This window comes from Homo sapiens, chromosome 3 (genome assembly GCF_000001405.40).
Source record: "Homo sapiens chromosome 3, GRCh38.p14 Primary Assembly".
Taxonomy (NCBI): Eukaryota; Metazoa; Chordata; class Mammalia; order Primates; family Hominidae; genus Homo; species Homo sapiens.
In genome coordinates, this window is record NC_000003.12 from 151,319,118 (window position 1) to 151,339,711 (window position 20,594).

The 20,594-nt window shown below is 36.7% G+C and overlaps 3 protein-coding genes across 28 annotated transcripts in view; 1 reads left to right on the plus strand and 2 right to left on the minus strand.

Annotated features, from left to right (window-relative positions):
• MED12L (mediator complex subunit 12L) overlaps positions 1-20,594 on the plus strand; it is a 350,990-nt gene that overhangs the window by 233,454 nt on the left and 96,942 nt on the right. The window lies entirely within an intron of this gene.
• On the minus strand, positions 7,195-10,432 carry P2RY13 (purinergic receptor P2Y13). Of its 2 annotated transcripts, XM_006713664.1 has the most exons (3): positions 10,364-10,432; positions 9,315-9,890; positions 7,195-8,475 (listed from the first exon to the last, which is right to left on the minus strand). In XM_006713664.1, exons 1-3 carry the CDS (start codon positions 10,409-10,411, stop codon positions 8,425-8,427), a joined length of 675 nt encoding a protein of 224 aa, XP_006713727.1. In that variant the 5' UTR covers positions 10,412-10,432; the 3' UTR covers positions 7,195-8,424. The 2 variants fall into 2 exon arrangements, with proteins under 2 accessions (XP_006713727.1, NP_795713.2); NM_176894.3 differs by having other exon boundaries at positions 7,195-9,890.
• The window catches only part of P2RY12 (purinergic receptor P2Y12), a 47,911-nt gene continuing 45,042 nt past the window's right edge, over positions 17,726-20,594 (minus strand). For both annotated transcript variants that reach the window (NM_022788.5, NM_176876.3), the window contains one exon: positions 17,726-19,742. In NM_022788.5, the coding sequence (NP_073625.1) occupies positions 18,700-19,728 (1,029 nt within the window). In that variant the 5' untranslated portion in view covers positions 19,729-19,742 and the 3' untranslated portion in view covers positions 17,726-18,699. The remainder of the gene's footprint in view (positions 19,743-20,594) is intronic.

The following is a 20,594-nucleotide window of genomic DNA, read 5'->3' on the forward strand; positions in this document are numbered from 1 at the left end:
TTGGGACTTGTGAAAGCTGGTCTTACCTAACATTCCAAAAGGGAAGTAATACATGTTTAGTCATGAAAAAAGTGTAACACTTTGATGCAAAGAGCAGCTAACAGCCAGCCCATAGCTTTATTATTGTTCACATAATCGAAAGGTAAACCAGCATAATTTTTTTCCTGCTGGTTTTTATAGCAAGTCTCACATTTCATAAAAGCCCCGGGAATCTTCATAGCGATAATTTCCTTTCCACTTCATTGGAAAATCCTGTTAAATGCAGGGCACTCTTTTATTAATTTTGTTTAGCCATTACAAACCCCAAATTTATTTTAAATACAGAACATCCAGGTGTGTGTGTGTGTGTGCGTGTGTGTGTGTGTGTGTGTGTGTGTGTGTGTGTGTGTCGGCCACCAGAAAACTTTAAAAAATTTTGTTTTGTTTTTATACTAGGGTGATTTTTTTCCTTCTAACATTATTTTTAAAGGTATTAAGACTACAAACAAATTGAAAGAATTGTTCAACTAGATTTCATCTAGATTTATAAATTGTTACTGTTTTTCACATATACTCTTCCCCACTCCAACATATTTACTGACGACAGTAAAATGTCAGATTATGAGCAGTACCTCATTTATTATTTATGAATCATCATGAAAAATGGCAAAATCTGCATAGCATAACTCTTTACTCAAAATACAACAAACTGGCAACAAACTAAACCAAACATATTTGGTTTAGTCACAGAAATTCAAATGAGGATTCCCGTAATCTTACTGATTTTTCAAAATATATTCTTAAAGAGACAGGGGCGCTCAAGGAGAAAAAGTGTCACATCTTCGAAGGAATTAAAATAGGTAAGATTACTCATAAGCCTTTCTCAGTCCTGAAATGAACTCTTTATTCTGTTTTCTCATGTTTTTGATATGAGACATTGAGCAAATGTATTACCAAGGCTTACCTTGGTTTCTAGTGGTTTCTCCATGGCATATGACTTTTTCCTCCCTTCTTTCTTTGGCTTTTCTGCATTGGTGTGGACCTGGGGACAGTGTTTCCTCCCAGTGTTGGTAGGCATAGTATTTGTGTTATAATCTCATTTTTCTGTATCACTAATCTCAGATGTATCTGTTTCTTCTTAAGGAAAATGCACATATAAAGGGCGTCATAGTCCTTTATAGTACACTAACTTGTTATTACAAAACAAAGACAAGCAGGGATCTAATTGCAACATAGCTCAAGGTGATCTCTCTTGAATGCCCGTGTTGGTCTTTTCCATGTGGCTGGAACATGCAACAAGGATTATAGTAAAACCTTTGCCCAAGTCTTACTGTTCCATCTCTGTACACAAGTCTTTCTAATTGTGGCTCACATCCAGTAGCTGAGAACTTGTGCTGAGTATAATTATTATAAGCCCTTTAATAGTCAGTCCTTTGACAAGATTGGTATCATTGGGTCCCTATGCTTGAATTACTGTGTTTAATCTGTCATTTGAAATTATTTGTATCTATCAGGTCTGCTTTACACGAAACACCTTTTTCTGGTATGAGAACTTCATTTGATTAAAGGGAAGGGGGATGGTTTGGAGATTGAGTCTGGAGATAAGGCTGCATCTCTGACTGTTGTCCTTTTACTGATACTCCTTCCTATGCTGGGCAACTTAATCTATCTCCTTGCTTTGTAAATCTTGCTTGTGCGAGAGGCAGTGTCCGGCTGTGACAAGACTAGTGATTGGGGTCAGGTAAACTCCAATTTGGAACATCTCCACTTAGCAGCTTTTTTTACTTTGGGCAAAGCATATCTTCTTCTGAAAATGAGCATGGCAATGCCTGCCATGTAGGGTTGTAAAGCTTAAATGAGGTAATCTATTCAGGATAAATATATACAGTGTAGTTCCACAGTGTTTGGAACTTGGTTGGCATTTAAGGGTACAGGAGCACTTTGTCTTTTGTCAGAAGGTGAAGGGAGAGCAAGCGAATGAATGGGGTGTCTGATGCATGGTGGAGTTGGAATGATATGCCTCAGCTTAGAAGTTAAGGTACATCCATAATTTTGGTTGCTTTTAGAAAGCTTCTGGTTTCCTATTAGTGACAAACTGATGATTGCTTGAAATGCTTTTTATAATCTTTTTTGACAGTTTTTTTCTCCTGTAAAGAAGGAAGTTTGGACTTCTTTATTCCAGACTATCTGAAATTGTGGGAATCTATAAAAGCTGAGGTTAGAATATATGGGGAGAGAAGGGAGGTCGTCTCAGTAGGGTTACTGTGTTCAGGATAAAGCTTCATTCATTCACAGTTTGGGCATTTTTGGACTTAGGAAACTCAGTTGTACAGTTAAATAGAATAAAAAAAGACTTAAAGACCAGTGACATTATGTGTATATATGATATAAAGTCAATACATAAAGCTAATATTTTTTTTAAAAAACCCAAAGCTATGAAAGCCTTCAGAAATACATTAGATACAATTAAGATCAACACCAGTAAGTAAAGTCATATACACACATTTAACGTTTAAACTGAAGTTCAAAAATAAAGGTGGACATTCTGTTATTATGCCTCAGGATGTTATATTTGTCAGTTTGAGTTGTATTACAAGAGTGGCAAAAGTTCACATGCTGAGTAAGTTATGTAATTTTTAAAGAACTAGTTTACTTCCTTAAGTCTTAAATTTAATTTCCTTTCTCTTTCATATTATCTTGCCTTTTTCTTTCCCTTTTATCACTCCCCCCAATTGTCTCAACTTCCATTCCTACCATTTTCTCTTAGTGTCCCCATCTCTCCTTTCCTCTGACTTCCTTTCTTCCCATCTTATTTTTTTCTATAAGGACTTCATATTAGAATGAGAATGGAGGCAAGGAAGCAGAAACCCGGGTTACATGGATATTGAAAATATTGATACACCCAGTTTCTGACCAAGGCTGAGTTCTCTGGCCTGTGTGGTTGCACCCAACTGTTTGATTTGTACTTCTCTGTTAGCTATTTCACATGGAACATGTTCACTATGCACATCATAGCATAGAAAGGAATTATTCTACATGTTCATAGAAATCCCTGGGAAAAGCCTAACTAATATAAAAGCTGATTTGTTTCTCCCTGGAAGTCTTTTGAGGCAGGGTCTTGCTCTGTCATCCAGGCTGGAGTGCAGTGGTGTGATCATGGCCCACTGCAACCTCAACCTCCTGGACTCAAGTGATTCTCACACTTTTGCCTCCCGAGTTGCTGGGACTACAGGTGCATGCCACCAGGCCCAGGTAATTTTTTTTTTATTTTTTTATTTTTTGTAGAGTTGCGGTTTTACCATGTTGTCCAGGCTGGTCTCAAACTCCTGGGCTCAAGCAATTCACCTGCCTTGGCCTCCCAAAATGCTGGGATTATAGGTGTGAGCTACTGCATCTGGCGCCCCATGGAACTCTTTTAAACTGACTTATCCATTATGGGAAGATAAGGGTTGCTTCTACTTCCTCACTTCCCATTCACAAACTGGAGCTCACCCCACTTCCACCTCAGAGTTATCGTTGACCTTATAGTTGTAGATTCATCACTTTTGACTAAATTTAGAGTGTATAATTCTGTTGGCTATCTCTTCCTCCTTGAATCTCTCTTGTTCCTTGGTATTCAGTACACTGGACTTCCTGATTCTCCTTTTCTACTAACACTACCCACTCCTCCCAGTTCCAAGGCATCATCCCCTGTTCCTCTTCTGTCTGTTGTGACCATGAGACCTGTGTAGTATGGCCTCTGGGGTTCTCATCTCATTCCTTTTTCTCTCCCTGTCTCAAAAAAGATTATTCCCTAGACCTCTAATCTTAGTCCTATTTTTGGAGCCTGGGTCCATATTTTGGCCCAGCTGTGGGCTCTTTGACCCTAGCTCTTTCACTGATACCTCAAATGGAACATACCCCAAATCCACTTCTGTGATGATGACCTAGCAAATCGTTCAAGCTAACGGTCCTGAGAGAAATCAACCCTCAATTCGAGGAGAAGGGGGTGGAGGCATTATGGATCCCATTGCTAATATATTTTACATGTTAACCACATGTTTTACATAGAGTCCCCCACTTTCAATGGTCTTGGACTCTGAACTTAAAACCTCTCTCCCTGAGAATGTCTGGAAGGTCCATGTCAGATGTTTTCCCCATCATTCTTGCCTGCATACATGGAAAGCCTCTTTAATTGACCTGGCCTCACTGGCTCTTCCTTCAGTCTAGAATCATCCTATAGTTGGTCAATTGATTTTCCTAAAGCACAGCCCAGAACATGTGGTTCTTCACCTTAGAAACCTTCAACGACTCATTAGTGAAGACTAGATGTCCCAGTACAGTGCTTGGCTGTACAGTCCTGCATCTCTGTCCCAAATGTATTCCCTATGTCATGTGCTGTAGGCTCAGGCCCCCTGCAACCCTCACGCTCCAACCACAGCACAGTTCCACCCCTACCTGAGCCTGCCTTGAAACTGCTTATTGTGCCGCAGGGTTCCCTTTTGAATGCTCTGTTTTCTTCAAGTTCCAGTTCAAATTTCCATCTCCTGTGAACCCTTCTTCATTTTCTCCATGTGGAATGAATTGCCTATTCCTTTGAACTTCTGTGGTGTGTCTCTCACACCTCTTATCACATCTTGAGTCATTATAATCTGTGTTCCTTACCAGTGTTCACCTTCTAGAGATGCAAAAGGCCCTGTACCCAAGTTGATGATGAAGGAATGACTGGCTAAATGAACAAATGAATCCACTATTGGGGAGTTTACTCCCCCTGAGCTCTCAAGTGCTGGAGGGACCCCTGAAGTAATTGTAGGTGCCACTATTGCACCATTCATACCCCTGAGGTTGTTGAAGCCCATTCGTGTTGAGACTTCTCTCTTCCCCTCTAAGAAGCCTCCTCATTCTCCCTAGTGGGGCCTTTGAGGAATTCTGCTAAGTCTGACAGGACAGAGAGGCAGTGACCAGAGCAGTTGAGGTGCTGGTCTTGAGACCACCTTCCTGGGTTTCAGTCCCAGCTCTGCCCCATTTGTTGGTGAGTGATGTGCACCATGGGCAAGGTGTATGTTTACTTTGTGCTTCAGTTTTGTTCCTATTTTTAACTAGAGAGCCTAGTAGTATTTGTCTCATAAGATTGTAGTAAGAATTAGAAAAATGATAATCTTTGTAAAGAGCCTGGCACACAGCAGGCATTCAGGAAATGAGTGTGAGCTGCTTGGGTAAGGTCCTGGGAGGTTCTTGTTAGCCTCTAGGTCAGGGCTTATTACCTGGCAGCATCTGGGCTGGTTACTACCCACACAGAAACGTATCGTTTTTGTGGGGTCAGGGAGCATGGGGGTGGCTACGGAAGTTTTGTAAATAACAGGAAATATAGCATGGGAGACTGGAATTGTGAATTCACTTGAGAAAATTAGACCTGAGGTTGTAAATACAGTTGTTAAGAATATGGGCTTAGAAGCCACGTCTCAATTAAAGCCCCATTCCTGCAGATGGCAAGCTCTGTGACCTCATGCAAGTTACTTAGCCTTTCTGTTTCTCAACTTCTTGATCTCTAAAATGAAGATAATAAGCATTTCATAGCCTGCCTGGGATTATTAAAGGAGACAGATGTGCTGCTTTGTTGTTTTGATGGTTCTAGCAATGTGTATTTGGAGAATCTCTCCAGCCGATTCCGGTAGCCACTAAAATTTGCAAACTAATATGGCACATGTGTTCTGTATTCATATTTCCTACATTTGGTTTCTATGTAAAATTTCAAATGTTGAGATGTGTTTCTGGGTGCTTCAAATGATTTGTAAATTCTGCACTTTCCTTAGTAGGGCTACTGTCTTCTAAGTATGTTTTTTCTTAAATAATAGATAATACTGACTTTGGGTTTTTTTGCTCTGGATATTCTGTTAATATCTGTGTGAACTTTGATTTGTTAATTTGCTGAAGGAATACAGTTTATGTCGGGGTAAGAGTTAAGTATTTTAGAAAGAATACCTTGGAAAGTTATGAAAGGCAAAAGCTTTTAAATGGATATGGAATGTAAGAAATAATGGGATTAATAAGATTGAATGATTGTTTTATAAGTTATGACATAATGACTTTATCTACCTTTTGGCTTCCATGAATTGAGAATTCTCACTCCTTCTCTGCCTCATCCTTTCCACTTTACAGTTATCTTCCTTGGTTTCTCAAGAATTCTTCCGAGTGTGGGAACTTCACTCCCTTCAACCCCTCTCTTTTCTTGAAGGTTATTGGGAAGATCTTATCCTATTTATTTGTACAAGTAATTACATTTTAACTTTTGACAAAAGCCTTTGTATTCTGAGCTCACATATTCTATCAGTCCAAAGCTATTATTTTCTTTTATTCTTTTTGGTGTATCATTTATGACTATATTGTAGCATCTTGTTTTTTTTAATATTTTAGAACTTAGTATTTGTGATTGCTAGTTTAGGAAGTTCTTCATTTTGTGAAAGTGATTTTAGGAAGTTCTTCATTTTGTGAAAGTGATTTTAAGATCTCTCTACTATGCCTCTTCACCACGTTCTTGATGTAATAGATTATTTTATTCTACAGATCAGGCACTCTGCCTTTGAGTGGAATATTATAATGGAATGAAATATTTGTATTTATGGATGACAGATTTGGTCTTGGAATTTATCTTGAAAGATCTTTCCCAAAAATTGTATACTTTAGGTGTACCCACATTAAGTAGAGATTGAAATTGTCATTAGAGGCAAAATACACAGGTTACCCCACCAGACATACCTGGCTGTTTAACAAGGGTAGCTTGGATGCAGTTATTTACATGATTATAGTCTATTTGTGATTGTGTAATGTACTCAGTAGAGGTAATATGGATTTAGTGGCATCCCTAATAGTAATGATTATTTAATTCTTTTATCAGAGAGAATGAAGATCAGACATCAAGAGTACTTTCTAAAGGTGTTTGTTATATTCACAGTTACAAATTTTACTTAACCATTATCAATAGTGCATAGCTAAAGGATTTTGTCAATAGCTTTAAAACTTTGGATTTGGCTATTCCATGATCCTCCTGTTGTCATGATCATTCACTAGTGACCCCAGGAGCACCACAATTTTCAGGCCCTACATACATGTTATAGGAGAGTGGACAGAGCTTGAGCTTTCATTTCAAGAAATTTATGTTGTCTTTGGATAATAAAAACATCAATGAGAATTGGCTTCCCTTTTGCTTCTCTAATACATAAAATAAACCAAATGGGCTTTATTTTATCAAACATTTATTGATTGCACAATGAAACAATCTCTCCTTTCAGATATATACATCAGTTACTAAAAGAGTAGATACAAAGGTCAGGAAGTAATTACAATGCAATGTGATAAGTTTAATAATATAGGTGTGACAGCATACAGAGGAGGGGGTGATTGGGTTTGAGGTGATGGTGGGATATTGGCCAGGTAATATTTCATGGACCAAGTGATGACAACATAGGGTTTCACAGATGGATAAGAGTCTTCCAAGTGTACCAGGGGGAAATATACATGTGTGGTGCCAAAACAGAGTATGGCATTTTCTGAAAGTTAGAAATTTATACAAGAGTATAAAGTTCAAGAGATGGATAAGTAGCTAGGAGGTAAGGCCAGAAAGGTAGGCAAGTTCTAGGGCCTTTGAGGCCATGGAAGAAAACGTGGGCTTCACCCTACGATGGTCGTGTTGGAGCTCGTGGCACATTTACAGAGCTTAACTACTCCTTTATGTATTTTTTCTAGAAGATGTAGACTCTTATCCATCATTTCAGAAAGCCACATTTTACTTTTTTGAATCACAGAAGGATGCAAGAAAAAATACCAAGGTAAATAAATACAAGCAGGGTCACCATCCTTTGAAAAATCTCTCAATATGGATGTTACTGATTGTGGGTCAGCAATTACGTCTTTGTATGTATCGAGAATAGCAATTCTATTTAAAACATCTGTAGACCATGGACTGTAGGTCGTATTATGGGAGATACCAAGAAAATCTGGCATGTCTGTCTCTCAAGAAGCTTTAACATTTTTAGCGGATGCAGTCAAGAATATAGCTAACTAGAAAAGGGAGATCTGCATTGAGAACCCTATCACACACCCAAACAGTAGAAGTATTTGTTTTTAATGAGGAGGGTGGGGCAGGGGGATAGGGGTTGTGGTCCAGGAAGGCATTGCTGAGTAGGTGCCATGTTTAACCATCATTAGAGTATTTGCTGGACAGAAGGAGAATTCCAAAGAATAGTTAACACAGCATTCTCACACTTGAATTGTACACACTTAAGGTGTAAGCAAAGTGGCTTAATAATGGTGCTTGTGCCTCCTATGGTATATTATTGTAATGTGAAAGAGGCTGTTTGTAATTGTAAGGAGAAAATCCTTTACCCAGGATTTCAGAGGTCTTGCTGACCCACTTCAGTTCCTCAGACTCTTCAAGTCTGCATCCCTTTCAACCCCTGGCTGCAGTTTTCAGCAATGGACTTCAAGAGTTGGGCGTTTTTTTTTTCTTTCAGCACATATCTACATTTAAGGGGCACAAAAGCAGTAGTGTTATGTGAATTGTGGAAAAGAATGTGAGAAGGTGTTTGGAGGGGAGGTTTGTAGGGATATACGTTTCTCCTTAGTCTTTTCCAAAATGTTAAAGTGAAATGCTCTTGAAATTAAAAAAAAAAAAAAAGAAAGAAAGAAATAATGACCTCTAGTGGCCATTTGTATCCTGTTGCATTCTCTTAGTAATGGTTCATTCAGCTTATGAATAGATCTATGTGGATTTAAATTTTATATAATCTTTTCTGTACACGAGGATAATAAAATGTAAGAGAGCATTTGTTCCAATCTTTTTTTCTTGGTTAAATTTGATTTCCACATTATCTACGGAAGTCTCATCAATAAATAGAAGTTAACCCTATGTACAGTTGTCAGCCTAAGGTTATGTTGTCTGTCTGACTGCTATGATTTTCTTGGCTTGATGCTGTGGTCTTTCTCCCTTGCATACATGGTAGCTTTTCTGTGAATTTTTTACATAAGAATATGTATATTAAGGGATCCATACAAATGTTAGTTGCTGCCAAAAAGAGAGTTGTTTCTTTAGCAATAAACAGTTGATTTTGCAGTCTACAGTCAGTCTTATTGTTGGTTTGACTGTGAGTATATGGAACTCTGGCAAAATGAAATGGAGCAAAACACACAAAGAAGACAGCCACGACAACAAATACTTTGCCTTCCAGCTTTTTGTTGTTTTTTCTGTCCTTACTTTTGGACTTTCTATAAGAATCATATACTTTTTTTGCAATAACCACATAAAACACAAGCATTAGGATAAAAACAGTCCAGAAAATAAACTGGCATATGTTATTTACCATTTGATGCCATTTCAGCCCCAGAGGCCCCTTTAAGGAAGCACACTTTTTCACAGACGATGGTGTTGCTTCCTTGTTGCTCAAGATCGTATTTGGCAGGGAGATGAAGAACAAAAAGAACCAGATGAAGATTGAGACCGTTTTTGCAAAAACAGGTTTTTTTAGAAAAATATTTCTCAAAGGTCTGATGATCTTGAGGAATCTGTCAAAGGCTATGAGCCCTAACAGCACGATGCCCACATACATGGTCTCATAAAATATCACCGAAGAAAAACGACACACAAAAGCTCTGAGCTGCCAGGGTGCCAGGTGTGAGTCAGAGAGGATTTTGAAAGGAAGCATGAGTGTCATTATCAAGTCGGCCACCAAAGTGTTTTTGAGGTAGATGATGAAGGTGGAGGAGCTGGGGATGTGAACAAACACCCACAGAGCCAAAGTATTCAGCAGGATGCCGGTCAAGAAAACCACTGTGTAGAGGGCTGGGAATACCAGCTGTACTATCCGAGTGTCTCTGGGGCACCGCTCAGATCTGTTGAAGCCTTGCATCACTGTGGTGTTCATTGCTTCCAGTGTCACCTGTTACCAATAAACATATATACAAACAAAAGAAAACAAAAAGCCCTTCATGATTTTCAAATGCTATTTTTTAAAAACAGACTTTATGTTTATAGCATATTAACATCCTGCATTTATCCAACACTTTCAATAGATGTGTTGAAAAGGAAAATACTGTTTTCTGGCTAGAATTTTTAAAGCATATAATACATTTTTGGTACTTTTAACAGTACCATTACTTTCACATCCTTGTGAAATCCAAATAACAGGTTCTGCCTCATTCACAGGTGCTACTGTTAGCCATAAAACAAAACACTGTTTAAGAGATAATAATACATTATTATTACTAATACATCAGATTGCTGTAAATTATGTAATTTCTTATGCTCATAAACTATGGTTTGTAGAATATTAACTTTAAAGCACCTTTTTTCCCTTAAGCATATTCTTTTATATAAGCAAGCACACTCATAATAACAAAAATTGAAATTCACCTTTGGGAGGATACTCAGTTCTCTCTGTCTTCTTATGGCGGCAGTCATTAGTTCAGCCTACAAATGAGCATGTGAAGCAAATGTTCTGCTTTCTTATAGTGGATTTCCTTCCTTATTTTTACTTATGTAATGTGACCCATTAGAACCTCTTCATATTTAGACCTTTGGGACATTTGCTAATACTCTATTTTAGTTCAAACTTTCATACTGTTAATCTGTGACTTGAATAAAGAAGCTTATTTGCAATTATCTTTAAATTTCTTCATAACTTTCTTGAAGTTTATCTTCTTGATCTGCATGTTCAGTGAACTTTTTGAGTGCCTCTTGTATATAGTGGAAAGTAGAAAGATGAAGAAAATAGTCCCAAATTACAATCAAGTAGGAGAATAAGACTACCTAAAATCAGACAGAATAATCTTCTGTATCCTTGTAAACTGGATTTTCCAGTAATTTGTGTTCAGGAAGACGGTATGTTTATTTTTGTAGGTATTTGACTTAGTCTTCTGGTTTGGGGATCTCTGAGAGTTAACATGATGTTTTCTGAGAGGTGAAGACTATTAGATCCAGATTTTTGGAGTTAGAATCCCAGTTCCACCAATTAATTGGGATTAGATTATAGATAAATGATTCAACAGCTCTGTGTCTCAATTTCCTCATCTGTGTAATGGGTTTGAAAATAGTATCTAACACACTGTGTTATTAAGAATGAATTGGTTGCCTGGAATAGTGCTTGACATATAGGAGGCACTAAAAAATGTTAGCCACTTTTAGTGGCTTTTAGTCCCATTGCCATGGGAATGAATTGCAAATCCAGATAGAGATATTATACTCTTTCACTTAGTAGAGGGCCATTTTTAGAAATCTTTTTTGTATTTGGTGTATTTCGAGTGCAGAGGACTTCAGGAATTTCATCAATCAACATTGGGCCAATATCTGTGCATTTTTTTTGCTTTAATTCTCTTCAAGTTTGAAAGATGTAATGGTGCTTTTGCATAGAGAAAGTTGTTGTCCATGGCAGAAATCTACTTGCCAGGTAGGCATAGGAAAAGCGGAAATTAGGAGATCTTACGGAGGATGTGGAGTTCATGGTGAGTTTCATTTCATGTTTCTTGCCACAAGTGTTACCATGGAGTTAGACGAGACTAGTGTTAGTTGATCACAAAGTTTTGGGTGACTTGGCTTTGAATTCTGAGAAGAAAAACTTAATATCCCCCTGGACATTTTAAAATATGAGGCAATACAGTGTCTAATAGTTTTGATTAGACTACCCAATAACGGCACAGTTTGAAAAATTTCTCTTTGACTGAAATAAATTAATCCTTGGGAGTATAGATTCAAGATTTCATTAATAGAACATACATGTATGTCTTAAACATAAATGTATATCTTTTTGTTTGCTTCAGCAGAGGAAAAAAAATCCTTTATTTCTTAAGTAGAGAAATTTAACCTACAAAATTAATTGTAAATTTTCCTATAGCCCCAAATCCATAATCTAAAGGAAGATCTGGAATAGTTTTTCTTTAAGCAAGATAAATTCTGTGCAGGATAATTTCATAATCTGAAAACTGGAAATCACTTCTTGGTCAAATTTCAAAACACTGAAGTGTGGGAAACTTTCCAAAGAGGAACTGACTTACAGTGCCTGTTTCTAGAGTTATGGAAATAGAGTCTCTTAAATGTGGTAGATGTCAAAGTGTTTGACTATAGTAAATATCCAATAGATCATTCATTTCTATGTGTTTGTGCTTCTTATGTATTAGCTGATTTTTCCTTAGTTTACAGCAGCACTATTGCCTGCTGGGGAGGCCTTTTGCCCTTGAAGACACAGCTGAGAAGCTGCTCAGCAGAATGTTTAGGCGCCAGAGTGCCTGGGCTCAATTCCTTTTTCCAATTCTTTCTTTTCTTATGACCTTAGGCAAGCTGCTTATGCCCACTATGAAATGGTTGCCTTATCTTTACAATAAAAATAAATAATAGTATTTGCTTTACAGTGTTGTTAAAAGAATAAAATGAGTGAACATTCACCAGTGCTTAGAATAATGTCTGTCATGTGGTAGGTATCATGTAGGTTTCTTGTTAAATGAAATTGAAAGAAAATTGGAATGTTGTGCATACATATGGTGATGTCTCACGAAAGGAGAGAAGAATCAAAGAAGATACAGTGAAAGATCCCAGAGGCTAGGAGCCTATCAAATGGGAATAAACTAAACATTTAAGATCCTATAGGGCTCTAAGGAAATGTAGTTAAAAATCAGTAAAGTCACACTAGCTATACTGTTTTAAGTGATTATATTATCTTATTTAATCCTTAACAATCCCCAGAGATTGGTCCCATTTTTAGAGTTGAGAAAAAAGGAAATGCAGAAGTTAAGCCATTTTCCCCATATCATGCAACCCAAATCTGCCGTAAAGTCACACAGTTGGTCTGGTTCCAGAGCCCATGCTTGGAACCTGCCTCACTCTCTTGCCTCCGATTAAGCCATAGATAGGGTGACAGTGGAATTGTTTGCCAAATTCTGGAGTTCTTGAGCTGAAAGTTCCTGATGTGTGAGAAGGAAACAATCAGCCACAATGTTTAATGGACTTGTGAAACTTTATGCCAATGTAAATTGAGTGAAAGCAGTGTGATCAGAAGGGATACAAAGAAGATAAAATGAAAAGTCACAGAAATCAGTCTCTAGCCAGATAGGAATAAACTACTATTTCCATTTGTAGTCTTATTTGGGATTTCTCAGTTGCATCAAAATTGACAGTCCAAGGCCCAGTACCATATAAATAATATGTGAAAAGATGAGGAAGTATTTGCTTTCATTTGGGATGAAAATTGAAGTAGGAACTCCTATACTTCTATACTCTTAGAAAAGACTTTTACTTCCCATCAAAGTATACCATGGTACTTTCTCAGATTATGTGAAATTGTTTTAAAAATTCCATACAAGAGTAACTAAAAGTGGTAAACTAAAAGTGGTAATAATAAGCTGAAATAAGTTATACTTTTTATTAATGTAACAATCTGTTTTTCTGAGTAAGAACAATAGTAGAAAATATCTACATGTAGCTAGAGATAGGCAATAAATTCACTGCTATTTGGAACATTTAATATTTCACACTATGTTTAAAAATTGAAATACAAACATATATAGTAGAAAGTGAAAGTTAATACATATACATACCAATATATGTGTACAAATATATTTACATTTATTTATGTATTGGATTTTTGTTTCATTCCATGTTAGTACATGTAGACTGACGTGATTTTTTTTTTAACTTTATTTTAGGTTCAGGGGTACATGTGCAGGTTTGTTACATAGGTAAATTGTGTTTTGTAGGGGTTTGGTGTACAGATTATTTTGTCACCCAGGTGATAAGCATGGTACCGGATAGGTAGTTTTTCAGTCCTTACCCTCCTCCCACCCACTACCCTCAATGTAGGCCCTGGTGTTTGTTGTTTCCTTCTTTGTGTCCATATGAATTCAATGTTTAGCTCCCACTAACAAGTGACAACATCTGGTGTTTGGTTTCCTGTTCCTGTGTTAGTTTGCTTAGAATAATGGCCTCCAGCTTCATCCATGTTGTTGCAAAGGACACGATCTCTTTCTTTTGTGTGGCTGCATAGTATCTCATGGTGTATATGTACCACATTTTCTTTATCCAGTATACCAATGATAAGAATTTAGGTTGCTTCTGTGTCTTTGCTTTTGTGAATAGTGCTGTGATGAACACACACATGCATGTGTCTCTATGATAGAATAACGCCTATTCCTTTATGTATATACCCAGTCATGGGATTGCTGGGTTGAACGGTAATTCTGTTTTAAGTCCTTTGAGAAAAGCCAAACTGCTTTCCACAGTGGCTGAACTAATTTACTTTCCCACCAGTAGTGTGTAAGTGTTCCCTTCTCTCCACAACCTCACCAGTATCTGTTATTTTTTGACTTTTAAGTAATAGCCATTTTAACTGGTGTGAGATGATGTCTCATTGTGGTTTTGATCTGCATTTCTCTAACAACATGCCAATCAAATTTAAAATCAGTTATGCTACATAAATTTACCATAGTTAAGCTGCGACTGATGGGCATGTAGTTAGTTTACGATAATAGTTTTTCTCTATTAAAAACAATGCTATAGAGCATGTATGTGTCCATATATTTTTGAGCATTTTTTCTAGCATGTTTGTAGGAAGTTTCCTAGAAGAAGGATTATTGGTTCAGTCCTTCTAGGAAAAAGTTATTTGTCAAAATGTTAAATAATATTTTCAAATAGTTTTCCAGAAAGATTGTACCAATTTATTGTTCAATTAAGAGTGGGATTCTTGGCCAGGCATGGTGGCTCACACCTGTAATCCTAGCACTTTAGGAGGCCAAGATGAGTGGATCATGAGGTCAGGAGTTCAAGACCAGCCTGGCCAAGATGGTGAAACCCCGTCTCTACTAAAAATAAGAAAATTAGCCAGGCATGGTGGCAGGTGCCCGTAATCCCAGCTACTCAGGAGGCTGAGGCAGAGAATTGCTTGTACCCGGGAGGCGGAGGTTGCAGTGAGCTGACATCATGTCACTGCACTCCAGCCTGGGTGACAGAACAAGACTCTATCTCAAAAAAAAGAAAAAAAATCTTTTAAATTAATTTGAAATCTGTAAGTGAAAAAGCCATGTTATATAAATATAAATTTATTTCCTTATTGGTGATGTTATGTGTTTTTTCTTTCTTTCTTTCTTTTTTTTTTTGCCATTTCTATTTCTCCTGGAAATTGCCTTTTCATGCTCTTGCCCCATTTAAAAAAAAAAGGCGATTTCTCACTACCTATTGATTATGAAGTGCATTTCCACATCTTTAGTTCCCACTGACAGTATTGTAATCACACCTTGAGTGTTGGCAGTGAACAGTGATCAGATGTCTTCAGTGCAAAATGATTGAAACACCTAGGTACAAAAAGAGAGTTGTGTTTTTTTTTTTGTAAAAGGTTTTTTTCCACCTGTTTTTAAAGTACTGGTCCAGGGGGAAGCAGTCTTCTTTTTTAATTTTTATTTGTTTATTTATTTAGAGATGGAGTCTCACTCTGTTGCCCAGGCTGGAGTGCAGTGGCTCAATCTCGGCTCACTGCAACCTCGTGTGTTCAAGCGGTTCTCCTGCCTCAGCCTCCTGAGTAGCTGGGACTACAGGTGCCCACCACCACGCCCAGCTAATTTTTATTTTTTTAGTAGAGACAGGGCTTCACCATGTTGGCCAGGCTGGTCTCAAACTCCTGGCCTCAGGTGATCTGCCTGCCTCGGCCTCCCAAAGTACTGGGATTACAGGTGTGAGCCACTGCACCAGGTCCCCCAGTCTTCTTTTTTTTATAGAGCCAGTTAGAAAATACTTAGGTTTTGTGAGCCATGCAGTCTACATCACAGCAACTCAGCTCTGTCGTAGCATGAAAGCAGCCATGGATAAAACCTGAATAGTTGTGTTCCAATAAAACCTTATTTATGGACATTGAAATTCAAATTTCATATAAATTTCATTCGGCATGAAATTTTATTCATTTGATTTTTTTCCTCACAAACATTTGAAAAGGGGTACACGTGATATTTCATGTAAGTATACAATGTGTAATGGTCAAATCAGGGTAACTGGGATATCCATCACCTCAGGCATTCATTTCTTTCTATTAGGAACCCACTCTTTGAGTTACTTTGAAATATACAATACAGTATTTTTAACTATAGTCACCCTATTGTGCTATGGAACACTAGATATTATTCCTTCTCACTAACTGTATTTTTGTACTCATTTACCAGTACCTCTTTATCTCCTCCTTCCCCATGACTCTCTAGTAACTGTCATTCTACTCTCATAAATATGTACAGTTATTATGTATCCATAACAATTAAAAACAAAAATGAAAACAAAACATTCCTAAATCCCAAGCTGTACAAAAATAGGCAGTGGGCTGCGATTTGGCCTGTGGGCTATAGTTTGCCAACACCTGCTTCAGACCTTTTCTGTAAGAAACCACTGAGAAAAACTGTCAATAACCAATACCTTTAGGACTTGTAAGCCACTGAGGCTATGGGCAAGACTACATTTTGTTGTCTCATCTTTTGAACTTTTCACATCTGGACCTGAGTCTACAGAATTTGGCTTCATTTAAAAAAGTAAAACTCACTGTGAAATGTGGGGTTAATATATATTAATATGCCAAAAGCTAGAGATAATGGCATGTTTTATGTATAATGATCCCTCCATAAATACTAACTCTCACACTGTTTTGAATGGGTTTAGTTTGATGTAGTATATGATGTCTAAGGTCTCTGAATAAAGATATCCCAGCAAAGTGTGATTTTAGAGTTTTATGTAAAATTTCCATGGCATATATACATACTCATAAAACATAGGTAATTTCAAATACTTTCAGTTACTTTTACTAAAATACCATATTACTATTAGCATTTCTGTTTATTTCATCTCTTGTGGAAATTGTCATCTCAGTGACAAAGATTTTGGGGGTAGTTTGTGTCCCCTCTGTAGTCTCCGAACATCTGACCTCCATGACACTGTGAAGTAGTCAGTTTCAGTCCATGCTCTACCCCAACTTGAATGGGTGGAGGGATGAGTCTGCCTTTCATTTTTGTTATATGCAAAAGAAGAAGGTTAGATTAGTTGATCTCTAGATTGTCTTCTACCTCAAATATCCTGGTATTCCTATAGAACATGTAAATTTATGCATATGATTTTAGAGTGAACTGTACTAGTCTACATAGCAGAAATTATTACTGCTGTTTATCCCAGCAGTGTATAGGTTATATACTATATGAACTGTCTCTGTATCTCCACTGACACTGAGTGCTCACTTTTAGTGGTGCCGGAGAAAGAAATGTGGCTGGTTGGAAATGAATACCACTTAGTAGTTAAATGAGTTCAGCTTCGTAATGAAATAGAACTCAGCAGAGGTTGTAGAGGGTTTCAATAAAAGTGATTATTATTAAAGTTCAGTGAACTTTATACAACAATACACCCTTTTATTTCTTCTGGCATTATATTTAGGTATTGATGTCTGTTCCTCCTTCTGTTTGAGAGTCACCTCTGAGGATCATAAAAAATTGAGATAAGTGATGTAAACTTCCACATGTGTTATATGTTTTGTTTATGTTAAAATAGCGAATATGCCTTGTGTAGAATTAGACTGCATGTTATAAGTCTGACCTGTTTTATCATTTACATTTGAACTTATTGAAATGAGAAGTCATCTTCAGAAGAGACTTTGCACAATAACATGTAATAAAGGTGTTGGCATTAATTCTTAAATGGATTTGATGTAGTTGTATATGGTATGGTGAGTCATGGTATCTAATATCTTTGAACAAAGAATTTACAACAAAGAATGATTTAGAGTTTAATGTAAATTTTGTATTTTATACACACCAATACAAACAAGTAATTACAAACAGATCAATCACTTTCCTCTCAGTAGTTATGCTGTGCAACTTTGTAATCATATTTAATTAATTTTTTTCACTAAGGTAAAATGTTCATTAACCTAATTAGCAGCTATTTTCTAGAAGCTAATTAATAAAGGTAAGTGTCAATGATGGTATTATTGAAGTTGTAAAAAATTAGTAAAACTAGTTTCTCTAGAATTAAGGAAATATTTCTATATTTTTTAGTATTAGAATGTCATAAAAGTAAGTCTCCTTATTTTAATGACTTCGATATTTCTTCTCTTTATTGTAAAGGTCTTCTTTAAATCTTTATCTTCTAAATAAACATAAAAAATTAAGTCCAATCAAATACAGTTTCAATTAGTTTAAATCCCTTAGGTTTTTGCTAATAATGAAAAGTTAATAGTTATTATTCTTTGTGTATCCCACTTACTTAAATTTTTATAAGTATCCCAATAGGTCAGGATTTGGTTAGGGGACTAGGATATATATACATTTTAACTATCATTTTTGGTAAGAAGATTATATCCAATTGATCGTTCTTCCTTAGTTGATTATGAAAAAATAAAATTGTGAACGATAATGTATTTTAAAAATTACAGTAAATATTATATGATTACTCATTTTGGCAAAACTCTGCAAAACATGAATTCTGTGTAGTTTTGCATGCAGCATGACAATTGGATGTCGTTTGTTTTGCTGCTAATACAGCTACAGTTTAGATTAGTTTTCTATATTTTAAGATAGCTTTTCATACTGGAAAGGTAAATGAAAATTGCTTTTGTAATCTTCTGTTTCTTTAGAGTCATTATTATTAACTTAGTTGCTTCTTCGTCAGTTAATATTTTTACTTAGCGCTTTGCTTTAACGAGTTCTGAACACAAAGAGATTGAAATATTTCCTTAGTTAATTTGTTTACATTGGAGTCTCTTCATTTGGGTCACCACCATCCTGTTCTTTTTTCCTATTGTCCTGGGACAGAGATGTTGCAGAATTGGGGCACTTCAGCATACTTATCAAGGAATTTCTGAAGGACTTGCAAAGGAAAAAATAGATGAACGGATCCAGGCATGCATTTAAGGAAGTTAACCACAGAGTGCTCTCTTTCACATAGAACAGAGTATTTTCAGCAGTGCAGTCAAAGACATCCCGGGTTTGGCTCAGGGTGTAAGGAATTCGGGCAAAATGGAAAGGAACAAAACAAATAAAGAATACAGCAATGATAATGAAAACTTTGACGTTCACCTTTTTCCTGGGGACTTTACCTACACCCCTCGTTCTTACGTATGACCGGTACAGTTCTTTTGTAATGAGTGTATAACATACAATAACAATTAAGAAATTAATCCAGAAAATGACTTGACAGATGTAATTTACTATTTCATGCCAGACTAGACCGAACTCTGATTTAAGGAAAGAGCATTTCTTCACATTCTTGTCTCTCGGCTGCCTGTTGGTCAGAATCATGTTAGGCAAAGAGAGTAAGAACATGAATGCCCAGATGACAACAGAGAGAATCTTAGCCCCCAAGAGATTTTTGGGGTTGGATGTTTTAAATGGCCTGGTGGTCTTCTGGTAGCGATCGATAGTTATCAGTCCCAGGAATGAAATACTGATATACATTGTGAAATAAAATATGACGGAGGTAACTTGACACACAAAAGTTCTCAGTGGTCCTGTTCCCAGTTTGGCATCACTAAGAATTTTGAATGGAAAAGTCAGAATCATGAGAAGATCAGAAATGACTGTGTTCTTAAGAAAAATAATAAAGTTTGATTTACTCCGGATTTGAAAGAAAATCCTCATCGCCAGGCCATTTGTGATAAGTCCAACAAAAAACAGGACAGTGTAGAGCAGTGGGAAGAGGACCTGGGTGATTTTGTAGTCTCTGGTGCACAGACTGGTGTTACCAGGCGCAGAGGTGAGGTTGTCGACGGCTTGCATTTCTTGTTGGTTACCTAGAGAACAAAAGAGAGGATGGTTATTTTCAGCCTAAGGTAGTTATTATTGCTGTTATCTCTGTGTGTAACTTTTTTGGACACAGCCTCCTCTAAAAGTTGAGGTTTCTCATCTTCATTGTAGTAGTTAGTATGAACACAGAAAACTGAATCCCAAAATATTTCATTGCAGCAAATATTGCATCTCTGCTGAAGAGAAATGATCTGAAGTACAATATGTGAAGTTATAGATGCTTAGTATTTTTTTATTTGTTGAATGTTTGCCTCTTAAAGCACATTTTGTCTTAGAGCTCACTCATATTTATATGCAAAAGCTGGAAGAGAAATAATGGGGCTGTGCTTTACTCTTCTCTAGCTTCCCCTCCATGCCTTTTAGCTTTTTGGTTTCTATTCACAGTCACTTTTCCCCCCAACGTCCTTATTTCTGAGCTTCTTTTACTGTAGTACCGTCAAAACAGTTGAGAGAGAAATGATGGATAATTGCCTGTTAGAATCCTAAAGTAATAAAAAGGGGGAAGAAATTGATGGAAAATTACTCTTGGGAAACTTATTAAATAAAATACTGAATCAGTAAAAAAAAAAAAAGCTGACCTTTTTTCTTTATATTTGGAAGATATTCCTGCCTCTATATTGCTCACTCATTCAAAGATTGGCCTCACGGAGATTCATTATTCTGCTTCAAATATTTTAACCCATGTGTATCTTATTTCCAACTTTCCTCAGTGTTTTGAAGTTGCTGCATACATTTTCTTGAATATCATTCAGTATAAATTTTAAAACAGTAAAAAAAAAAATAAGAGTCAGAAATGGCCTGTGTATATATGGTCATGAGTTGGCATTCCTCAAAACAGG